This window comes from Homo sapiens, chromosome 5, assembly GCF_000001405.40.
Source record: "Homo sapiens chromosome 5, GRCh38.p14 Primary Assembly".
In the NCBI taxonomy this organism is placed as follows: Eukaryota; Metazoa; Chordata; class Mammalia; order Primates; family Hominidae; genus Homo; species Homo sapiens.
In genome coordinates this window covers 8860244-8880494 of record NC_000005.10, presented here as the reverse complement: position 1 = coordinate 8880494, position 20251 = coordinate 8860244, and the positions used below count along the sequence as shown (strand labels likewise).

The 20251-nt window shown below is 40.5% G+C and overlaps 1 long non-coding RNA gene across 1 annotated transcript in view; it reads right to left on the bottom strand.

Annotated features, from left to right (window-relative positions):
* LINC02199 (long intergenic non-protein coding RNA 2199) overlaps positions 1-20251 on the bottom strand; it is a 41794-nt gene that overhangs the window by 1031 nt on the left and 20512 nt on the right. The gene's annotated exons all lie outside the window — the stretch shown is intronic.

The window sequence follows — 20251 nt, the reverse complement described above, 5'->3', positions numbered from 1 at the left end:
TGTCTTGAATCATGGATACCAGCTCAGCCACAGTAGGATAGGGCACCAGTCAGAGTTGTGAGGTCCTCTTTCCAGGCCCTAGCTCCTGGACAACATTTCTACACATGCCCTCGGCCAGAAAAGAACCTGTTCCCTTGAAGGGAAGGACCTTGTCCTGGCAAGATTCATCACCTGCTAAGGGAAGAGCACTTGACCTCTGAATAACCAGTAGTGATAGCCAGGTATTATGTTGAGAGCCTTTAGTGAAGCTCTGAGACTTGCTGGTATCAGTTGACACTGAGCACATTCCTAGCTGTGGTGGCTATGAGGTGAGATTCTTTCTGTTTGAGAAAAGCAGAGAGAAAAATAAAGGGGACTTTGTCTTGTACCTTAGATACCAGCTCAGCCACAGGGGAGCAGAGCACCACCTGGGCTTTTGGGGTCCCCTACACAATAACTTGTCTCTTGGACAGCATTTCTGGACCTGCCCTGGGGCAGAGGAGAGCCCACTTCCCTGAAGGGTGAGTCCAAAGCCAGACAGCATTCACAAGTTGACTCAAGAGCTCTTGGGCCTTAAGGAGAACATTAGCCATAGGCTGGCAGTAGTACCCCTTGTAGAACTGTGGTGGCGGTGGCCATGGGATGGGGCTCCTCTGCCTCTGGAAGGGGGAAGGGAAGAGTGGGAATGATTGTGTCTTGTGGTTTAAATGCCAACTCAGCCTGCAGTACGGTAGAACACCAGGTAGACTTCTAAGGTTTTTGACTCTAGTCCCAGGCTCCCGAATTTGCCTCTGGACCTGCCCGGGGACTGGGGAACTTGCTGCCAAGAAGGCAAGGACACAGACCTGACTGGCTTTACCACTTGTAGAGTCTGAGGGCCTTGAGTGAACATAGGCAGTATCCAGGGAGTGGTCACAGCAGGCCCTGGGCAAGACCCAGTGCTGTGCTGGCTTCAGGACTCACCCAGCACAGTCACAGTGGTGGTGGCCACAGGGCTGCTTGTGTCACTCAACACCCAGCTTCAGGCAGCTCTGAACAGAAAGAGAGACTGTTTCTTTGGAAGAAAGTAACAAAAGGGAACAAGAGTCTCTGCCTAGTAATACCGAGAATTCTCTCGGATCTTGTGCAGGACCGTCAAGGTGGTACCTATATGAGTCTGCAAGAACCACAATATTACTGGGTATGGAGGGCCTCCTAAAGTAGACACAGCTTAAATCACAAACCCAAGTCCTTTTAATAATAAAGATCAGAGCAGAAATTAATAAAATTGAAATAAAAAAATACAAAAGATCAACAAAAATTGATTTTTTAAAAAAGTTTAACAAAATTGACAAATCCTTAGCCAGAGTAACTAAGAATAAAAGAGAGAAGACCCAAATAAATAAAATCAGAAATGAAAAAGGAGACAATACAACTGAGACTTCAGAAATTCAAAGGACCATTGGAGGCTACTATGAGCAACTATGTGCCAATAAATTGGAAAATCTAGAATAAATGGAGAAATTCCTAGACACATACAACCTACTAGGATTTAACCAGAAATAAATCCAAAACCTGAACAGATCAATAAAAAGTAATGAGATTGAAGCCTTAATAACAATTCTCCCAATAAAGAATCCTAGGACCTGATGGCTTCACTTCTGCATTATACCAAACATTTAAAGAAGAACTAATACCAACCCTATTCAAACTATTCCAAAAAACTGAGGAGAAAGCAATACCTCCAAACTCATTCTACGAGGCCATATTACTTTGATACCAAAACCAGACAAAGACACATCAAAAAAAGAAAGCTACAGGCCAATATCTCTGATGAATATTGATGCAAAAATTCTCAACAAAATACCAGCATTAACTGCAATCAATACATGTAGAAAGATCATTAATCTTAACCAAGGGGGGTGTATCCTTGGGATGCAAGGTTGGCTTAACATATGCAAATCAATCAGTGTGAAACATAATATCAACAGAATGAAGAATAAAAACCAGATGATCATTTCAATTGATGCTGTAAAGTATTTGATAAAATTTAACATCCCTTCATAACAAAAACTCTAAAAAATGGGTATAGGAGAAACATTCCTCAACACAATAAATGCTAAATATGACACAGCTAGTATCATACTGAATGGGGAAAAACTGGAGCCTTTCCTCTAAGATCTGGAACATGACAAGGATGCCCCCTTTCACCACTGTTATCAACATAGTACTGGAAGTCCTAGCTAGAGCAATCACACAAGAGAAAGAAATAAAGGGCATCCCAATTGGAAAGAAAGAAATCAAATTATCCTTGCTTGCAGATTATATGATCCTATATTTGGAGAAACCTGAAGACTTCACACACACACACACACACACACACACACACACACACACACACACACACACAAACACACCACAAACTTTTAGAACTAATGAACAAATTCAATTATGTTGCAGGATACAAAATCAACATATAAAAAATCAGTAGCATTTCTATATGCCCAATGGGGAACGATCTGCAAAAGAAATCAAAACTGATCCCATTTACATTAGCCACATATAAAATTAAATATCTAAGAATTAACTTAAGGAAATGAAAAATCTCTACAATGAAAACTGTAAAACACTGATGAAAGATATTGAAGAGGACAACAAAAAAATGGAATGGTATTCCATGTTCATGGGATGGAAGAATCCATATTTATAAACTATACATATTACCAACAGCAACCTACAGATTCAATGCAATCCATATTGAACTACCAGTGAAATGCCTCACAGAAATAGAAAAAAAAATCTAAAATTCATATAGAACCACAAAAGACCTAGAATAGCCAAAGCTACCCTAAGCAAAAAAAAAAAGGAGGAATCACATTACCTGACTTCAAATCATACTACAGAGCTATAGTAACCAAAATGGCATGGTACTGGCAGAAAAACAGAACAGAATAGAGAACCCAGAAACAAATCTACGCACCTACAGTGAACTCATTTTTGACAAAGGTGCCAAGAACATACACTAGGAAAAGGACAGTCTTTTTAATAAATGATGCTGGGAGAACCGAATATCCATATGCACACACACACACACGCACACACACACACACACACACAGAAAATGAGGCCCTTATCTCTTGTCATATTCAAAAATCAAATAAAAATTGATTAAAGACTTAAATTAAAGTCTGCAGACTATCAAACTTTCTGCAGACTAAGAAAACTTTGGGGAAAATCTTCAGGACATTGGCCTGGGCAAAAATTTCCTAAGTAATACCCTAAAAGCACAGCACCAAATCAAAAATAGACAAATGATATCACATTAAGTTAAAAAACTTCTGTACAGCAAAGGAAACTATCAACAAAGTGAAGAGACAACCCACAGAATGGGAGAATATATTTGCAACTTAACCATCTGACAAGGGCAATAACCAGATATATAAGGAGCTCAAACAACTCTACAGGAAAAAATCCAATAATCCGATCAAAAATAGACAAGAGGTCTGAATAGACATTTCTGAAAATAAGGCATAAGACATACAAGTGGCAAACATAGGAAAAGATGCTTAAGATCATTGATCATCAAGGAAATGCAGATCAAAACTACAATGAGATATCATCTCACGCAAGTTAAAATGGCAAAATGGCTTATAGCCAAAAGCCAGGCAATAATAAATGCCACTAGGGATGTGGAAATTGGGAATTTAAGTTAATACAGTTATTATGGGGAAAAGTTTGGAGGTTCCTCAACAAAAAAATCCAGCTACTATATGATCCAGTAATCCCACTGCTCGGTATATACTCAAAGGAAAGGAAATCAGTATATCAAAGAGATTTCTGTATTTTCATGTTTACCGCAGCACTGTTCATAATAACCAAGATTTGAAGCAACCTATGTGTCCATCAACAGATGAATGGATAAAGAAAATGTGGTACATATACACAATGGAGTACTATTCAACTATAAGAAAGAATGAGAGGCTGTCATTTGCAACAACATAGATGGAACTGGAGATCATTATGTTAAGTGAAATTAGCCAGACACAGAAAGACAACCACTGCATGTTCTCCCTTATTTGTGGAATCTAAAAATTAAAACAGTTGAACTCATGGAGATACAGGGTAGACGAATGGTCACCAGAGGCTGGAAAGGGTAGTGAGGGGTGGAGGAGAGGTGGGGATGATTAATGGGTACAAAAATAATAGAAATAATGAATAAAACCTATTTGTTGGCACAGCAGGGTGACTATAATCAATAATAACTTAATTGTACATTTTAAAATAACTAAAATAGTATAATTGGATTGTTTGTAACACAAAGAATAAATGCTTGAGAGGATGGATATCCCATTCTCTATGATGTGATTATTATGCATTGCATGACTATATCAAAACATTTCATGTACCCCATAAATATACACACCTACTATGTACTCACAAAAATTAAAAAAGTAAAAAATGAATGATAAGAGGGAAGTTAATCTATAAGGAAAGTCAACAGGAAGAAGGAAGGATCTTCCCTGGCATCCTTCACCATTTACATCATTTTACAAAATAATGCAGGTAAAAGACTTAATTCAGATAAACAACAGCTTACAACTGCCTGTCACATGACTTGGGCCTTAAAGTAATTTACATTGCTTTAAGGTTCAAAAAAACTGTAGAGTTCCAATAACTTAGATTCTGAATTACTTATTTTCACCATCTGGGCTAATGAAAGCAAAAGCTACATCCTGGTAGAAGTTACCACACTTGCTGCAACAGGTTAGGGAGGACGTGGGAAGTGACATGCTGGCATTTAGGGTGTCTGCCCGGCAGTTCTGCGTTTCCTTCCACTCACATGGCAATGGCGAAATCAGATATGCACCAGTCAGCCAACTTCTAAAGGGGCAAGGAAATATAGCCCTGCCATGCCCTGGGAAGGAGGACAAACACACATCTGTAAATGTCTCCAATGATCATGATGTGGGGAAACTGTTGGTAGAGAATGCAAGTTGGGAGGCAAAGGCACAGCGACCCAGTGTAATCTTTTCAGTTGACAAGTCGAAAAACTGTGTGGTGGTGGAGAGACCTGAGGCTTTTGGGTCAGCCCTCAGATGGCCTCAGGGCCTTGGGGAAATTATTAACTCTTTGGGGTCCTTTTGATTCCCTAGGAATTCTGCTTCTTATATGGGTAAAGTAAGGACATCCTTGGAGAGAGGAAAGGTACGTGAACTTAGTAGACATCTCATTGAACCTAGAAAGCTCATTTCTCCAAAGCGAATTGGAAACTTGAAGAGTATGTGTGAACAGAATTGCCATACTATTGTTACTATTTTTAATTAGTTTTGGAATCAAGTCTCAGAAGACAAAAAGAATCTTTGGAACAATTGCCTGACACTCAATACCCACCTGGCATGAAATCAGGGACTCATAATCCTAGTTAAACCTTTTTAACCTTCTAATATCCAGTACTAGTCACAGACCAGGTAAACCAAAAATCTCTGGGTGTGGGGCTCAGGCATGGAAATACTTGACCCCAAGATGTATTTTCTGTGTAAATTCCTGAACACAGATTCTCTGTGATATCTACCCAGGGACCAAAACTACAATGGCAACCATTAATGTTAATTGTCAGAAATGCATTCCAGGTGAGAGATGGGTGATCTCCACAGTAACTAAACTTCAAGCTCTGACTTCCAGGGTAGTATCATATTAGTCCTCCTGGCTCATATACATTCCTGGCCACAACAAAATGCTAGTTATCTTCCTCAGCTGACAAACTTATAATAAATGATTGCTTTTCAAACAACATTTTATTTTCCTAGAATATTATTTAGCCTCTTGCAAATATAAGGCTTAAACTATTCAACAAGATCAGAGAATTCCTTCTCATGGAAGGTCATCAAGAAAGTGTGGGTCCCACTGACCACATTTAATACATTCAAAAGCAAAATCCAAATATTGAGGATTTTTTTTCAACATGATTAGCTACTGCTGTGACTTCTAGTTTAAGTCTACAGGAAAAAAAGTAAAAGGAAGAGCAGAACCGCTGTCCAGGCATGACAGAAGAAGTGAGTCTTGCTAACCTCAATTATTCTCTAGCCATGTCATTGTCTCTAACAAGGGAGTGTGGTGTGTTGGTTCAGACAAGCAAGAAATGTCGCATGTTTTCTCACAAGAGACATACCAGGCTCCATGAAACAGCCGCCTCTAAGCCTCTAGCAATGCCAGGAAGGGATGAGCACCTGGAAACCAACTGCCACTGAGATGGGGAACCTGTGGCAGCTACAGCAGATGGGAGTGCGGCCCAAGGCTTTTGCCTTGACTATGCCAGTGGCCCTCAGGTGTCCAGGAGGCTGCAGGTGGGCTGGGTCAACAGCAGTGTCTGTGCAGGACAAACCTCCACACATAGGTGAGTGGGTGTCTGCATTTGACAGTGAGCTGGAGGTGGGGGGTCTTCATAACACATCACCCAATACTAACATCTGTAGCTCCAGTGAGTCTTCTGAATTTCAGATAGGCCACCTAGTACTTATCCCAGTTCAGCTCCATGGTTACAGTCTCCCAAATTATTTCATTCCAAACCCCCTTCCCTGAAGCCTCTACTACACCCTGCAACTGGGAAGTTCCTTTGTTTGATACCAATTTGATCATGGCACTTCCATGGCTGGAAGCTTTCATTGGCTCCAAACTACCTGTCACAAGAAATGTGGAAGTGCCTCTTCCTCCTCCCAGGCAGAGGCTGAGAATGCAAGGGTGTCTGGGCAGGAAGTCAGCTGGTCCTTGCAGGTGTTCCTGTTGAAGCCCCAACCAGGTTTCCTGCAAGTGAGAAAGGGACCCATTGCAAGTCAATGAACCCCAGTGGTTCTGCATCTCATTTCTGGCCAGACAGAAGGGTAGGATTTCATAGCATGGGATGAAGAAAATAACACTAATTACTCATTTACTTGAAAAAAATCAACTGTCAGATACAACCATGAAAATTATGGTAGAAAACAATTTCTACCACCTTTGAGAATTGTTTTTGACAGGTGTTTGTGTGTGTATGTGTGTATGTGTGTCTAATTTGTCAGTCTCCATTGAAGCATTTGGAAGTACACAACAGCATGCATGCTGTAACTCACATTTGACTAGGGGCAGAGATAAGGGGCCCTGATCTCTGACAGGGCTGGATAGGGATTGTCCCTAGCATCTCTGTCAGCCCTAGGCTCTGCAGCTGGAACTGGAATGTCAAAACCCTTTATGGAACATTCTAGCACCTGCAACGCCAGAGTACATCTGGGGTCTGACTGGTACGCTTGCTTCTGGGAGAAGATATGGGTTATAGAGCAAGCCCATGCTGATGTGTTTTGAGAGACATTTCTGGAAAGATGGGTAGAGCCTGACCCAGCAGAAGTTGAGGAATTGCCTTTGCTCCCCGAGTCATGGGGATGTGAACAGGAGAAAACACTAGGAAGTGGGTGTGCCCTGATGCACCTGTAGGGCCTTGGGTTGGTGGTGCTACAGGGAGTTAAGGAAGCACAATCAAGGCAGGCCAGATCTCCCCACCTTGGAAGCATTCTGTGTGGCTTCATCACCAGGGAAAGGGCAATGGCTCAGGGAGGGGCAGGGGGCTGTTAGTTAAGTGGAAGGATAGAGAGAGGATGAGGGAGGGCAAAGTGGAAAAGGCACTGAGGGGCCAGGGAGGAGCTGGAAGGGCAGGAATGGGTAGGCAGGAGGAGAGGATCAGATGTTGGCTGGGAGGGGCATGTGGACCTGAAGAGCAAGTGCCAAGACTGGGCACATGCTGGAGGGCTGTTCAATACACTCTGGCCCCTTTTTATTCATGACCTGGCAAGTGTTGGCCTCTGAAGAAAGGAGAGGAGGATGCTTGGATCATCATGTGTCTACTGAATAATATGGTCTCTGTAGTTGGACTGTTGAGGCCATTTGCAACCTGAGCCCCTAACCCCACTGTTCTCCCACACATTCCCGAAACCACAACTGTGTTAAAAATTGGTGCTTTCTCAACGTGCAAAGAACTTCTGTCCTCTACAGCTTTACAGTGTCTAATCTACAGATTGATGCTTTTTCTATCATTCATATGTGACCATTAAACATATCTACAGCCTTTAACAAGCTCCATGTCCCCTTCTCCATGAGCTGAACTTCTAGGTCAGGTTGTTTGTGGCAACTTCATGAAAGGTAGAGAGACCTTGTATTCACATCACTCATTCATATCTGTTTCCTATTAGATCACATCTCCTTTTAGGTTTGGGAATATGCCCCACTTTTAATTGCCAATTGTAATTAGAAATGTGAATTGTAAAATTAAAATAACTTTAGTTAAAGAAGCTACTAAAATTGCCATCATTTAACATTAAGGGCATTTTTCATTTCTAGTACTAATTCCTTAGAAAAAGACAGTTGAATTGTGTTTGCTTCATAGTCATTCAATGGTTTTCCTTTAGCTATAGGATAAATTCAAATGGCGAAGTACATCATTAATGGTTCTCCATAACTTGATTACATCTTTGCTTCCTCCTCTTTCTTCAACCCACACATCCCCAATAATCCAGAAACACGACGTCCAAGGTCCAAGATGGAAGAACCCTTTTTGCATTATCTGAGGCCGTGCTTCTTAAAGCCTGAAGCCTCCATGAAATAAGTTTCCTTAAGTTTCCTTAGCATAGAACTCCTTTCATTATGTTTGCCTGGCTTCTTCTCCCCTCCCCTCCCCTCCCCCTTTCTTTCTTTTCTCTTTTTTTGAGGCTGATCTCAAACTCTACTGCTGTGGAGATTTCTGCTCCTGTCACCCTCCTTCTGTGCCCACAAGAGATGCTCCCATCTCTACATAGCACATATCTCAATCTGATTTGTATTCCAGTTGCCTGTGTAGATAGCCATGTCCCCTGATAAAGTATCTTTCCTTTGAGGAAGCGATGTTGCCTTATTTTGCTGTTCTGTCTCTGATTCAAAATTACTAAATAAACAATTGTGGGTTGGGCAAACTTAAATAATAAGATTACCAGAGGATTTTTTTAAATGGTAACATCTGCTGTTGATATGGGGGAAAAAACAAGAATTAGAGACTGATTAAAGATTTAAACATGGTAATTACGGATTTAAATATAAAGTAGTAAATCATAAAAGTTCTAGGAGGAAAAATAGAAGTTCATAGAGGATAACATGATAAGGATTTTCTAAGTATAACACTAAAGGTTAAAACCTTAAAGAAAACAATTAGTTAATTTTCATTTCCAAATTTTTAAATTCAAACATTGATAAAGCATGATGAAGTGAATAGATAATAGACACCAATATTTGCATTTTCATGACAACTTTTCAAATAACAAATGATGAAGTGCTAGTAGAAAAACTACGAATGCATATGTATCAGTTTGCTATGCCGCATTAGCAATGTAAAGCGGACCAGGAGCCTAAACCACAGAAATGTGTCTGTCGTCTCACAGTTCTGAAAGCTGCAAGCCTGAGATCAAGGCGTGGGCAGAATTCGCTTCTTCTGGAGCCTCTCTCCTCGGCTTATAGGTGGCTATTTTTCTCCCTGTGTCTTTACAAAAGCTTTCCTATGTGTGTGTGTCTGTGTTCAAATTTCCTCTTGCAGTCATATTGGATTAGGGCCCTCCTTACTGACACTATCGAGTTTAACTTAATCACCTCTTTAAAGTCTCTATCTCAAACAAGGTCTGAGGTACTGGAGGTTAGGAGTTCCATATAGGAATTTGAGGAGAAGATGCAATTCAGCTCATAAAAATACGGGAGGGGGCCGGGGAAGTGCTGGGTAGTGAAGGGCGGGGTCCCCGGTGAGTACTCCACCCTGGGTCCTGTGCCCACAGGCCTATGTGAGGACAGGCATTTCTGTTTTCATGCCCAAAAAGTTGCCTTTTGGCCCGCCACGCCCCCCATCCTGTTCCCAGAGTAACCTGAGACCTGGTAGGCACAAATACAGGCGGCTCGACATCAAGAAGAGCAGAGGAACACAGCGGCAGACACCAGCGGACACCAGTGGGGACACCAGCAGACCCTGGCAGACACCAGCAGACACCCGGAAGACCAGACGGCAGAAGAACGTGGACGCGGAGGGGAGTTCAGCTGGGGCAGTCGGAGAAGAGTCCTGCTTCCGGGCCGCCCAACTCCAGGGGAGACCATCTTCCCACTCCATTCCCCTTGCTGAGAGCCTCACCCTCCAAGCCCACGTGTGATCTGATTTTTCTGGTACACTGGGCAAAAACTCGGGATACAGAAAGCCCTCTGCCCTTGCAATAAGGCAGAGGGCCTAATTGAGCTGATTAACGCAAGCCGTTTGCAGACTGCAAAGCTGAAAGAACACGCTGTAACACACACCCACGGGGGCTTCAGGAGTCGTAAACTCTCACTGCCAGACGCTTCCGCGAGGTGGGAGCCCAAAAGCATTCCCCACACCCTCTGCTCCTGCCTGCCTGCATGCTCTCCCCAGGGGTTTGAGCAGTGGGGCACTGAGCAAGTGAGCCACACCCCTGGCACGTCCTGCAAGCGGGATAAGGGAACTCTCCCGTATCAATAACAGTATGTTATTATGTTATTATGAAATTACCCAACAACAAATTTAAATAATAAAATGAACTAAACCTTTGTTCTTTCACATTATTTATTATTAGGTTAGAAAACAAACAGAAAGCTAACCCGTGTTGGCTTACTAGCTTCTAAGGTGAGGCTGTTGGAACTGGCCCCCTGAAACCGCTGAGGAGTGTCTGAAATGATGGAGACTTTTTGGCGGTCTCGTTACATCTCCTAGCAAACGCCATTCTGTGTGCACATCCTCTGACCCAGCCATTACACCTGCTAAGGCAGAAATTGGCCCAGTGCTCTGAGATGTGTATGAAAGAATGGCCACCATGGTACTATTGTTTATTTTATTTGGAATTAACTGTAACAAATGAGAATAATTAAGAATGTAGATATTCTCCACAGTGAGTATTGTAAATCAGTCAATCAAGCAAAGCATATAGGGTGTGTAGTCAGCCATCTGCCCCACAGCTGTAGCTCCTAGAGCTACGGGATGCTGTTTGGGAAACTGATGCTGTTTTGTGTAACTGTGGGTCTCTTCTCTCACCACCAGGTGCCTTGGCATGAGAAAGGCCCAGAGTTATGGCATAAGCCTTGGGAGCAGGGGTCACATCCCAAGGAGCTAGCACAAAGTCTCCTACCTGGCTGGTGAATTGGTAATTGAGACTGCATTATGTGGAGTGACAGCAAACAAAGGTGTATTTCTTATACACGTGTATCTGTGGGCTGAGATTCATAATCATAACAGGTGCTATAGGACTGGTAGTTTGTATCCCTCATAAGTTGAAGCCAAAACTCTTATGTTGAAACCGTATGCTCAGTGCGATGGTATTTGGAGGTGGTCTTTGGGAGAAGATTAAGTCATAAAAGGGGAGCCTTTGCTGATGGGACTAGAGCCCTCATAAGAGAGACCCCACAGAGCTTCTATGCCCCTTCGAATATGTGATGATACACTGAGAAGATGGTTATCTATGAGGAAATGGTCTCTTACCAGATACTGAATCTGCTGGAGCCTTGATCTTGGACTTCCCCAGTCTCCAGATCTGCAAGATATAAATTTCTATTGTTGATAAGTCACCCATTCTATGGTATTTCATGACAGCAGCTTGAAGGGGAAGACATCAGGTATCACGCAGTGCAGAGTGGCATCATGTTGATCTGATGAGTGGGTCATATCAGAATTCTGAGACAAGAAAGCTGCCCTGTTAATTTGATTCACAAATGACAGGATTTCATTGAAATGGTTGTTATACTTACACTGCATATAAACAGTATGAAACCCAGACATCCACATAATAGTAATTAATTTGGTGGTTATAAATGGACAGTTTATTCAAGGTTCCCCCCTCACAATTTAATAGAAATGTATTCAAAAAACATTTTAATGGTGTTTAGAAAGAGGGATCGTTAAATACATTCTAGGTTTTGGCCACTCAAAATGTGGTTCCTGGACCATGAGCCCAGCATCCCCTGATGGCTTGTTAGTGGTGCTGTGGTGTGGGCCCCACCCCAGACCTCCAGAAATGGAACCTGCACTTTAATAACATCCAGTGGTGACTCCTAATCCCAGGAAAGCATGAGAAGCTTAGTTCTGGGAAACTACTCTCAGTCAGTTGAGAATAGTGAATGAGGGCATGGAAGACCTCTGGCAAAATGAAAGTCATAAATGGCAGTTACATTTGAGCCTTGGCTTTGGAACAAGAAAAATAGACCAGGGAATATGACTGCTCAATATGTGTGAATTGGACTGTATATGGTGAGTCTCAAAGTTTTCTGCACATTAAAAGTTCCTGGGAGGTTTTTTAAAAACACAATATTTAGTCTCCCACTTACCAGACCTGTGGGGTGCAACTCCCAACAGTGGTATTTAAAATTCTCTACATGATTCCAGCCTGCAGTTGATGCTGAGATCTACTGAACTACATCACTTTGCCTTCTCCTGACCCACTCAACCATCATTGAAAACTACGAGCTCCTTATAAAAAATTGTATTTGAAATCCTAGAATGAAAACCACCACATGGAACATGTTATATCCATATGTAAACTGACATCTTCATTTGCTCTGGTTTTACCAGTCACTTCTTCAACAAATAGCCATTCATATCATATATTTCACTCCATAATTTTGCCTTTGACAAACAATTCTGAAATATTTTACATTCTAAGTTCTGAATAATTTTCACTAAGATAGGTTCTAACTAAGCCTTTAATAGTATTTAATGTTTAAAGTTATATTCTTTCTGTGTTCTGAGTACTTCTGAAGATTACTATCAGAACTTGCACGTTGTAAAAATACACAATCTGGGGACAATTGTAGCTATATGAGTGGCTAGGCTTCTGCTTAACTGTGCACTTGTAATTGGCAAGCTATTTTGCTATAACAAAGTAGAATAGAAGGGGAAAGGACATGCTGACTGGGCTAAGGAGAGGTGCACTGCTCTGTAATGGTCAACTTTCTGAAGTTGCATTAAGTAAATGCATACATAGCAAAAGCACAGACGAACTGAGAAGAGCTGGTATAGATGGGTCCCAGGTGCTCCTTCTAAACATTCTTCTTCAGTGCACAATATACTTGAATGTGGGCTTCCGTGTGCCAGATTTTGTAGCACAAATTGATGCCCAACTTCTGTTGTATTGTGAAGATCACAAAATACACAATGGCTACCAGATCTATTATCTGAGAGACTTTCATAGGTGACACGTATTGTAATTTGATTCAAGCATATAAGCAATAACAACAAAGCCAATTAAGGAATGAGAACAATTCAGCAGGAGAGAATCATTTGAACAAGATTCAGTGCAATTGTTAATGAACATTAAGTCATGCGCCAGAGACCTGAATGCTGCGACTTCAGGGTTCGCTCTTACATTGGATTTTCAGCTATGAAACAGAAATAAAAGAGAAAGGTCGATATCTGTTTCCTTTTAGCTCCCATTTCATTTTAGGTTGGGTATATGTCCTATTTTATTGCAAATTATGATTGGAAATACAACGGGTAAAATTAAATAACTGATTCTATAGCAGTTATTAAATTGGTACCTATTAACAGAAAGGCCAGCTTTTCATCTGCAGTACTGATTCCTTAAACTACACTGAATACATCTTGCTTCCCAATCATTCAGTGGTTTTCCTGCTCAGCCCTTTGCCACTGTGTCCTCGCTCAGTGATATCCATTCTCCACTCCCACTTCAACAGAATCCTCGTAATTTCACCACCCTTTTTCCTACACTAACACTTTATTAGAAAGGAACTATCAAGATTATTCATACCAACCTGTAATTGACTGATAAACCAATCCATTATCTGCCACTCAAGGAGTATTTTTAAGTAAGAGAGGCTAAGAACCCTAAGTTCTTAATTTTCAAAGTAAGACACACACAGGAAGAACAGGAAGCCACAAGATAGAGATGGTGAACTTTCAGGGATAACTCATTTTACTTGAAGAAAGGTTACATAAAATATTATTTTTCTAAAAAGGTGAATGTATAATGGCACACAGTACAAAATCCAGATAACATTTACAGATGAGATATAAATGTTCACATATGAATTTCACTTTTTCTGAAGCTTCATTGCCAGCCACCCCTGTATCTCAGTGGTCCCACTTCCCTTTCCTCTGCTTGGAGGAATAGTTCAAGGGGAAGGTTTTGAGAGGCATTGCCACAAGACAGACCCATTGACCTCTTGATGAAACCCACTAGAAGCAGGGGAACTGCTTATTTTTTCCCAGATTGGATGAAGGCTGACACTCTGGGTGATGTTGCCAGTACTTCACATTCTTAACAGTCGATTATATACTCAAGAAGGAACTGAAAACATGCAGCGATCAGCCCTGCCCTACAATGACTGTGCTGCGAGAGTACAGAGAAGGAAAGGTTTCACTGCTTCCGAAGCCCCAAAGACAAGCAGGGCTGCTCCGCAGAGCGCTATGTTTTAGAGCTCTGGAGGTAGCTTTATGGGTGATAAACTATAATGATCATCCTTTTGCAGGGAAACAGATATTTGAGAGAGAATCCATGGCTCATGATGGCACCTTGGAAAGTCTGTGTTGTTACATCAATGGTCTCTTTGTCCAAGATGGGGATGAGATGTATTAGACAACACACAATAGCTGGAAACGGAGAAATGTCAGGAACAATTGGTGTTTTAACACTAGCAAGAGCCTGCAACAAATGGTCAGGTAAACAATAAATGGGGCAGAAGAAAGCTTCTTCTCCACTCCTGCAAGTTCCTCCTCTTATCTTGCCTTCTGGGAAGGTAATGGTAGAAGAACAGGGGGTCTGAAAGGTTCCCCAACCTTTCATGGCTGCTTTTTGCAGTGTTGCAGCCCAAAGTATGTTGGTTTCTTTAACCCTCACCCTGCTGCAAAGCTGCCATTGTGCTGCCATACTGACTGGTGCAAGGCACCCCTCTCCTTAGAACGGGTTTGAGCAGCCGTTCTGAAAGAGAATGGCTTTACAAACTGGCTTCGAATTGGCTTCAGCCCCTGAGTTATCTTTTCAATGTATAATACAGAGAATAGCCTCACTGTCTGATCTGTCAGGAAGCTAGTTGTTATGGTTGCTTGAGGTAAAGAGAAAAGATGGCATGGATTTCTCTTTGCTCACGACCCAGGGGCATCAGCTCCATTTCTCAACGATTACTATAGTGAATATAGACTCCTCTTTGAACACAGCACTTTGCTAATAATAATTCAATGGTTTATCCTGGTATGTGGCCACTTCCTATTAAAGATACACAGAGGTGAGAGGCAGACAACCCATGAGAGTCTGGGCAGCTGCTGTGTGTGGGGATGGAAGCATTATCTCCCTAAGGGCAGGGGAGTTTCCTCCTCTCTGCCTGAATGCTTGGAAACATGGAACAACTATGAAGGTAGAGTACAAAAGCATTAATGACATATGAATTATCAGTTCACCTAGTAATTGGGGAAGGCAGATTCAACAATTTGATAATGATGTGAAACAAACATATCTGGCCAGAATGTAGATTAATAAGAATCATAATATGCTGTGTTTGGTCAGATAGGTAAGTATAATCACTGGATAATTATTTAGCATTACCCGAAAAACAAAACAAAATAGTAGATTTTTCTATGATCTCACAATTTCTACTCTTTTGGAGATACCAAAGATTAAATGGGTAACATATTCACAAGGATATAAGCACAAGTATGTTAATTTCAGTCTGATTTCTAATAATAATTTTTTAAATTTAAAATTTGAGAGTTTAATGGATGCATAATGTGTGATGTATCTCTATAAATAGTTTTATATTTATATATGTATCTTGATAAATCTAAGAAAGATGTTGAAATAAAATCTTGATACAAAAACATATACATAATAGACTGCTTATATAAAATTATAAAAATTCACTATATTTTATCAGACACACATCTATAAAATTACACAGTATGTGTTACCATCAGAGAAGGGAGTAAAAGGATGTGAGCGAGATATAAAATGAATTTTCCTGAATCTATAGTGATTTACTTATTTAAAATATATTCTAATATGTCTGACACTAAGTGACTTACCAATGATAACATCACAAAAAGAAGACAAAAGAGTTTGGAGTGTGTCCTGAGGTCACTTAGGGGGAGGCACCAGCATCCCCACTAGCACATCGTTGCTTTCAGTGGTACCTTCTCTGGGACTTATGTGATCAAGTCTTTACAGATGACAGTCAAGGTACTGGTGAAATGGGAGAGTTCCCTGATGCCCCCTGCAGGACGTGCAAGAGGGCTGTGGCTTGTTTGTTTGGCTTCTGTGTGCTCAAACCCCTTAGGGGAGGGGAAGCATGCAGATGGGCAAGTTCAGGAGCCAAAGTGAGCACTTTTGGGGCTCTGGCCCCATGGTAGTGTCTACGGGTGGGTTCTTGTGGCTCCCGAAGCCCCAGCAGTCATATTACAGTGCTCTTTTAGCTCTGCTGTCTGCAGACAGCTCAAGTGTTAACCAGCTCAGTGCCCTCTTGGTACCCAGGTTCTTGTCCCGCATTCAGAAAGAATCAGGTCACACGGACAAATTGAAGGATGGTAAATGCAGGAAATTTTATTGCCAGATGGAGGTGGCTCTCAATAGGATAGATGGGGAGTTGAAAGGGGTTGGAATAGGAAGATGATCTTCCCCTGGTAATCCTGTGACCAATCTCCTCTCTGACTTCCCCCAGCCTCTAAGTTCAGAAGCTCCTACTCTTCTCTCCTTCTCTGCCGTGACACTCTTCTGCTCCTCTGTTCTTCTGTTTGTTTGCTTGTCTGCTCCTGGAACCTGGGTTTGGGGTTTATATGGTTACAGGATAGGGGGACGTGGTGGGCCAAAAGGCAACATTTGGGTAGGAAAACAGGAATACATGTTCCCATTTAGGGCCACGGGTTTCCAGGCTTGAGGGTAGGGCCTTTGCGAGGGAGCCATCCTCTCCTACCCAGTATTTCTCTGTCTTCTGTCTGTATCATTGGAACCACAAAAGACAGCTTGAACAGTAATTAACTTTATTCAGAATGTGGTAAATCCCACAGAACAAATAACCTGGATTTCTATAACCAATAGATGACAAGAAAAACAAAGAAGGGATCAGAAAAAACAACCTAAGACCAAAAAATATTTGTTGACACTTTCTGAAATTTGAACAATGAATGAATATTATATGGCATTCAGGAAACACTAGAGTTTTGTTATTTGCAATAATGGTATTGCCTCCTTATCTGTTAGATTCATAATGGAAAATATATTGGTGAAATAATATGATGTCTGGGGTTTGCTTTAAAATACTTCAGTGGATTAGGGACTATGGGTAGTAAAAAGGTACAAATGAAAGTAGGTTGGCTGAATAATGATTGTTAACACTCATAGAAATCAACAGTCAAAAACCGTATGTGTATGTGTAGATATGTGCATGGGAATATGTATGTAAGTGGACGTCTGTATATTTCACTGTGTAGGTTAAAACGTGTGTGTGTGTACATACATACATACATAAACATACACACCTATATACATACACACACATTTTGTACACATGTTTGTTTTGAGATAGGGTCTCACTTTGTCACTCAGGCTGGAGCACAATGGCACAACCTCAACTCACTGCAACCTTGACTTCCTGGGTTCAAGTGATCCTCCTCAAGTAAGCCTCAAGCTCCCCAAATAGCTGGGACTATAGGTACACACACCTATACCCAGCTAATGTTTGTATTTTTTGTACAGACAGGGCTTCACTATGTTTCCCAGGCTTTTATACACTTTTTATTTGTGGGAGTCTCTTCAACACACACATATATGGTATTTCTCTCTCCTTCTCTCTCTTTCTACCTGAACACTTTACCAAAGAAAAGATAATATTTAATAATAGCAAAATTGTATTAAAATACCAACATAAATAATACAGCTAATGGAAGAGAAAATTCATGCAATTCTTCTAGAGTTTTATTTGATGATAATAGAAGCTCAAAATCATTATTATCTTTAATCTAGGGGTCCTGTTACACACATTTATAATGAAGAATAAATTAGAAGTCAAGTAAAATGTTTATGTAAAATAATTTTATTACAGTACTATTAACAGATTAAAGATAAAAATAATTATATATTCTTCATTAGGAAAATGTTGAAATAAATTATGCTATAACAGCCCCAAAATTGCCCCTTAAGAGATTTACATGAATAGAAAGACTCTTGCAGAGGAAGATTCATAATCTAAATTTATTTATTATTTTGAATTATTCTATATGCTTAATAGCCCAATCCATCTAGTAAAAAATATTTAAACCTGATGAGATAGTCTAAAATTTTAGTGAATAAATACATATCTGACCTATAGTATCTGTCAGATAAACTAATTTTTGCTCTAGCAACAAGTGACACTCACATCTCAGTAATTAAAACAGCAAATATTTTACTCTACATTCAGGCCATTCCATAATCTGCTTTGTGTCATTTGCATGCCAAACCCACACCGGTGAGACTCCAACTGTCTGGAACATAGGTGAACAGGAAGGCAGAGAAAAAAGAGAACACGATGAAGAATCTGCTGGCTCAGACAGCAGCGCCTGGAAGAGTCATGTGCCACTTTCACTCACATTTTATGACTGAAGCACGTCATATGGCCACGTATAAATTCAGGAAATTGGGGAAGTACAATTCCACTAAGGAAGGACAGTGAAAACAGCTGGAGAATTTTACTCTGTCAAATGAGAAATAGTGAAACTAATCCTCCATTAAAATATATACAAATTTATATTATTTAAAGCAGGAATTAAAATCTTAGAAATTTGTGCCTGCATATTGTCCCCTAACCACACCTATATTTATATAGGGAATTTATAATAATTAAGCCATTTAAGTAAGTGATAAAGATATGTACTTTGAAACATATACTGATGGGGGAAATAGCCAGCCATTAAAATATGATGTAGCCAGATTCATAATTTAGATATATCCAAAATTTAATATAAAAACAAATTATTAGAAGAAAATAGGTGAACATTCTTATATGTTATAGGTGGTAAAGGTCTTATAGTCAGGGCATACGTTTTGGAAGCTATGAAGATTTATAATACAGTATTGCTAACTATACTCTCATTGCTGGGCGTTAGATTTCCAGAGTGTTTACAACCTGCATAACTGAAACTTTATACCCTTTGACAAATATCCCTCCATTGCCACCTCCTCTCAGCTTTTCTCTCTGTTTCTGTGACTTCAAAGTTTTAGATTCCACATATAAGTGAGATCATGCAGTATTTGTCTTCCTCTACCTGGCTGATTTTGCTTAGCATAATGTTCTCTGGGCCCATGTATGTTGTTGCAAATGGCAGGATTTCCTTCGTTTTAGTGGCTGAATAATATTCAATTTTTTGTGTGTATGTATGTATGTATATGTACAAACTACACAAAAATAATATAAATATTTCATTACATTAATATATATTACTTTTTTATTCATTTATTCATCAATGGACATGTAGTTTGTTTATATATCTTGGCTACTGTGAATATTGCTGTAATACACATGGAAGTGCAGATATTGCTTTGACATATTGATTTAAATTCCTTTGTGTATATGCTCAGAAGTGAGATTTCTGGATCATAAAGTAGTTCTAATTTTAATTTTTTGAGGAACCTCTACACTATCTTCTTTCTTGCTTTTTTTGAGACGGAGTCTCACTCTGTTGCCTAGGCTGGAGTACAGTGGCATGATCTTGGCTCAGCCTCCCAGATTTAAGTGATTATCCTGCCTCAACCTCCTGAGTAGCTGGGATTACAGGCATGCACCACCATGCCCTGCTAATTTTCGTATTTTTAGTAGAGACTGGGTTTTGTCATGTTGGCCAAGCTTCTGTCACCTAGGCTAGAGTGCAGTGGTGCGATCACATCTCACTGCAACCTCTGCCCCCCGGGTTCAAGCAATTCTTGTGGTTCAGCCTCCTGAGTAGCTGAGACTACCATGGCACCATGCCCAGCTAATTTTTTTGTATTTTTCATAGAAATATGGTAGAGATGGGGTCTTGCTATGTTAGCCAGGCTGATCTCAAATACCTGGCCTCAAGTGATCCATCCACCTTGGCCTCCCAAAGTGTTGGGATTACAGGTGTGAGCCACCGTGCCTGGCCTCTATACTATTTTCTATAATGGTTGTACCACTTTACATTCCCATCAATAATGTAAAAGATTCCCTTTTCTCTACAATGTGCCAACATGTATCTTTCATCTTTTTTATAATAGTCATTCTCACTAGTGTGAGATAATCTCATTGTACTTTTAATTTTACA